Source organism: Homo sapiens, chromosome 19, assembly GCF_000001405.40.
Source record: "Homo sapiens chromosome 19, GRCh38.p14 Primary Assembly".
In the NCBI taxonomy this organism is placed as follows: Eukaryota; Metazoa; Chordata; class Mammalia; order Primates; family Hominidae; genus Homo; species Homo sapiens.
The window spans coordinates 22858668-22863868 of record NC_000019.10 but is presented as its reverse complement, the minus strand read 5'-3'; the positions used below and the strand labels follow the sequence as shown (position 1 = coordinate 22863868).

At 36.1% G+C, this 5201-nt stretch overlaps 1 pseudogene; it reads right to left on the bottom strand.

The window, feature by feature from the left end:
• On the bottom strand, positions 2263 to 2664 carry VN1R88P (vomeronasal 1 receptor 88 pseudogene; annotated as a pseudogene).

Genomic DNA, 5201 nt, shown 5'->3' with positions numbered 1-5201 from the left:
TTCAATACTGGACATATATCCACAACAAATAAAATCAGGATGAAGAAACATTTGCACTTCTATGTTGTTTGTAGCACTCCTCACAATAGCCAAAATAGAGTCAACAGTTTGACATCTAATGAGTAAATAAAAATAATGTGGTAGGCATACACAATTGAATACTATTCATCTTTTAAAAAAGAAAATTCTATTACTTTCAGTGACATGGATTAACCTGGAGAACATTATATTAAATAAGCCAGGCACAGAATGAATACTATCTTATGATATCACTTACAGATTAATTCTTTTTTTTTTTTAAGACAGAGTTTTGCTCGTTTCCCAGGCTGGATTGCAATGGTGTGATCTCAGCTCACTGCAACCTCCACCTGCTGGGTTCAAGCAATTCTCCTGCCTCAGCCTCCCAAGTAGCTGGGATTATAGGCGCCCACCACCATGCCTGGCTAATTTTTTTGTATTTTTAGTAGAGACAGGGTTTCACCACTTTGGCCAGGCTGGTGTCAAACTCCTGTCCTCAAGTGATTCACCTGCCTCGGCTTCCCAGTGTGCTGGGATTACAAGCGTGAGACACAATGCCCAGCCTCACTTACACAAGAATTCTAAAAAACAATCTCATTGCTGTAGAGAATAAAATGGTGAATACCAGATGCCAACGTGTTTAGAAGAAATGGGGAGTTGGAAAGAAAATATATAATTATACTTGAATAGGAGGAATAAGTCCAGAAGATTTATTTTACAGCACAGTGACTATAGTTCATTATAATGTATTTCTAGTTTTGAAAAATGTTAAGACAATGCTATGTGGTCTCACAACAAAAATGTTAACTACATGAGGTAAAGCATTAATTACCTAGAATTAAGCATGTGACAATGTATATGTACTTAAAAATATTGTATTGCAGAATACACATTTTATCTGTCAACTGGAAAAATATATTTTTAGCTTGGCATGGTGACTCATGCCTGTAATCCCAGTGCTTTGAGAGGCCAAAGTGGGCAGATCACTTGAGGTCAGGAGTTCAAGAGCAGCCTGGCTAACAGGGTGAAACTGTCTTTACCAAAAATACAAAAAATTAGCAAGGAGTGGTGGTGTCTGCCTGTAGTCCCAGCTACTCAGAAGACTGAGGCAGGAGAATCACTTAAACCTAGGAGGTGGAGGCTGCACTGCACTCCAGCCTGGGGGACAGATTGAAATCATCTCGAAAAAAAAAATATATATATATATATATAAATATAATATATATATAATATATTATATTACATATATAATATATATTATATTACATATATAATATATATTATATTACATATATAATATATATTATATTACATATATTATATATTATATTACATATATAATATATATATTATATTACATATATATAATATATATATTATATTACATATATATAATATATATATTATATTACATATATATAATATATATATTATATTACATATATATTATATTACATATATATAATATATATATTATATTACATATATATAATATATATATTATATTACATATATATAATATATATATAATTAAATGGGTGCAGTGGCTCACACCTGTAATTCCAGCAATTTGGGAGGCCAAGGTGGGTGAATCGCTTGAGATCAAGAGTTCAAGACCAGCCTGGCCAACATGAAGAAACCCCATCTCTATGAAAAATAGAAAAAGTAGCTGGGCATGGTGCCACCAACCTGTAATCCCAGCTACTCGAGAGGTTGAGGCTTGAGAATTGCTTGAACCTGAAATGTGGAAGTTTTAGTAAGCTGAGACTATGCCACTGCACTTCAGCCTGGGTGACAGAGCAGGACTCTTGTCTAAAAATTATATATATGTTATATACATATGTATATATATATACACACACATATAACAATGTTTCAAATACTGTCTTTGTCATAAACAGCTGAATAGTATCAAAATTAGTTTTTGTCACTTAGTTTGTCAGCCATGACCATAGGAACTCTGATATTTATTTATTTTATTTATTTATTTAGAGACAGAGTGGAGTACAATGGCACGATCTTGGCTCAACGCAACCTCCGCCTCCCGGATTCAAGGGATTCTTCTGCCTCAGCCTCCCAAGTACAGGTGCCCACCACCATACCCAGTTAATTTTTCTATTTTTGGTAAAGATGGGGTTTTGCCATGTTGGCCAGGCTGGTGTCAAACTCCTGACCTCAGGTGATCCACCCACTTCAGCCTTCCAAAGTGCTGGGATTACAGGCATGAGCCACCATGCCCAGCTTAGAAACTCTAGTATTTAACAGCATTTTCTGGACCCAGCAGAGTGTATGGGAAGAGCCAATGTACGTTAGGGCTTTTACTTCGAGCATGGGGTACCTGGAGTTTCTGTTGTTGATGGTAACAGTATGAAAAACACTAAAAGTTGGAGCTGTTGCTTATGGTCCCATGACTAGCCACTCTGTGAACACAGTAAACTCGTTTTTTATGCAAAATAATGGGAAATATTTTAATCCAAAAGCAGCCATGTTCTCCAAAAGTTTTCCAGAGAAAATGACCAGGGAGTTGACTACAGTTAGGTGACAAAGAGTAAAAACTGCAATCTAGGAAAAAAAGTGAGAAATTCCTCCAAATTGTAATAGCAACATGAAAAAAAAATTACATCAAATTTCAAATCCAGAGATCATTTTATTATTTTGCCAACTTTAACATTCACACTTAAAAGTTGAAGATACTGTATAGAAACATAAGTTATGCTATATTATAAAATTAAATTCGAAATTGTTCACTTGCAGTCAACTTGCTCAAAAATAAAATTTCTAAGATATATATTTTAGCACACTATATTTTTCACTCTTTGTGTGAGAATCTAATAAGGTTTTTCTTTTATAAACAAACAAAACCATGCTAACTGATATATTCTTCTTACTGATATATGATATATTCTATGCTGATACATTCTTGTGGAAAGTGTATGTCTTTTATTTTAATTAATCTAAAAGTTATATTGATAAGCAAACTCTCTAGTTAAAACCAATTTTTCAATGCATTAAAAAGTACCAACTTTCTCCTCAGAACCTACAAAGTACCATGTGAAATGACATGGCATGGAGATAACAGAGAGAAAACTGTAGCCATAACAGAGCAAGAAGAAAAAGGGCTGTGATGCATACATAGTTAGAATACACATAAAAAGTGAAAAAAAATCAAGATAATTAGGAAATTAAAGCAGCAGAATTTCTCTTTAAATTCAGCAAGATTCAGCTTTGAAGCCTGAAAAAAAGTGTCATCTCCACATGAAAAAAATCAATGTTATATCTTCAGCATTGATATTTTATTTTGTTTGTATTTTTTTTTTTTTTGAGACAAAAGTCTCGCTCTGTCGCCCAGGCTGGAGTGCAATGGCGTGATCTCGGCTCACTGCAACCTCTGCCTCCCTCATTCAAGCAATTCTCATGTCTCAGCCTTCCAAGTAGCTGGAGTTACAGGCACCTGCCATCATGCCTGGCTAATTTTTGTATTTTTGTAGTGCTGGGGTTTCACCATGTTAGCCAGGCTGGTCTTGAACTCCTGACCTCAGGCAATCTACCCACCTCGGCCTCCCAAAGTGTTGGGATTACAGGCATGAGCCACCATGCCCAGCCAATATTTTTTCTTTTTTTTTTTCTTTGAGACGGAGTCTCGCTCTGTCACCCAGGCTGGAGTGCAGTGGCGCCATATGGGCTTACTGCAAGCTCTGCCTCCTGGATTCACACCATTCTCCTGCCTCAGCATCCTGAGTAGCTGGGACTACAGGCATCCACTACCACACCTGGCTAATTTTTTTGTATTTTTAGTGGAGACGGGGTTTCACCGTGTTAGCCAGGATGGTCTTGATCTCCTGATCCTGTTATCTGCCCGCCTCGAACCTCCAAAGTGCTGGGATTATAGGTGTGAGCCATCGCACCTGGCCCAATGGTATTTTTAATTTCCGAATCAAAGTTACAAACTAATTTTAACACAAATATTTCTGCATTACGGAGCATCTGTTATACAGCAAGCACTCTCATGTTTGATATATTTATGTATAAAAATATCCTCAAAACTTATGAAGCTTCCCCAGTACTTACCTGGACAAATTGACTCAATAAATAAATGTATTTATGTCAATTATTAAAAATTTTTTTAAAATAACTAAATAAAGGTTGGCTTGGCTGGGTGCGGTCTCTCATGCCTATAATCCCAGCACTTTGGGAGGCTGAGGTGGGCAGATCATTTGAGGTCAGGAGCTCGAGACCAGCCTTGCCAACATGATGAAACCCTGTCTCTACTAAAAATAAAAAAATTAGCCAGGCGGGGTGACAGATGCCTGTAATCCCAGCTACTCAGGAGGCTGAGGGAGGAGAATCACTTGAACCCAGGAGGTGGAGGCTGCAACGAGCCAAGATTGCACCATTGCACTCCAGCCTGGGTGATAAGAGTGAAACTCCATCTTAAAAAAAAAAAAAAGTAGGCTTATATAAGTTTCTGCACTTAAAAGAACAAAATGGAATGTTCTAACACTAAATAAAACTTAATACACTAATGGAATTACCTTTGAAAATTATTTTGTGTGCACTACTAAATTTCATAAAAACAATTACTATAATCACTGACCAGCTAATATAATGAATACTTTATAACCTATAAAACAAAACGAAATAAGAATCAAGAAAATTATGGGTCTAGTATGAGTACTAGAAAAGTAAAAACAGAATTTGCATGAAGAGATTCTGAACTGTAAGACATAAGAATTTACAGCAATAAATTTAATACATTTTAAAGGCTTATATTTTCTGGAAGATCTTTTGACAGTAATTGCACCTTTAATGCTTGTATTAGCTCTCTGATGTTAAAATGTGAGCAGTTATTAATGGCTTCGTCACATTCTTTATACTTGTACAAGTTGTCTAAAATATAAATTATTTCCTGTGCACCAAGGTGTGAGCATTAGTCAAAAGTTTTGCCACATTCTTCACACTTGTAGGAGTTTTCTCCAGTATAAAGTATCTTACCTACAATCAAGTGAGACAACCATTTAAAGGCTTTCTCATATTCTTCACATTTCTATGAGTTCTCACCAGCACTTTTTTTTGTTTTTGTTTTTTTTGAGAGAGTCTCGTCCTGTTGCCCAGGCTGGAGTGCAATGGCGTGATCTCAGATCACTGCAACCTCCACCTCCCGGGTTCAAGCGATTCTCCTGCCT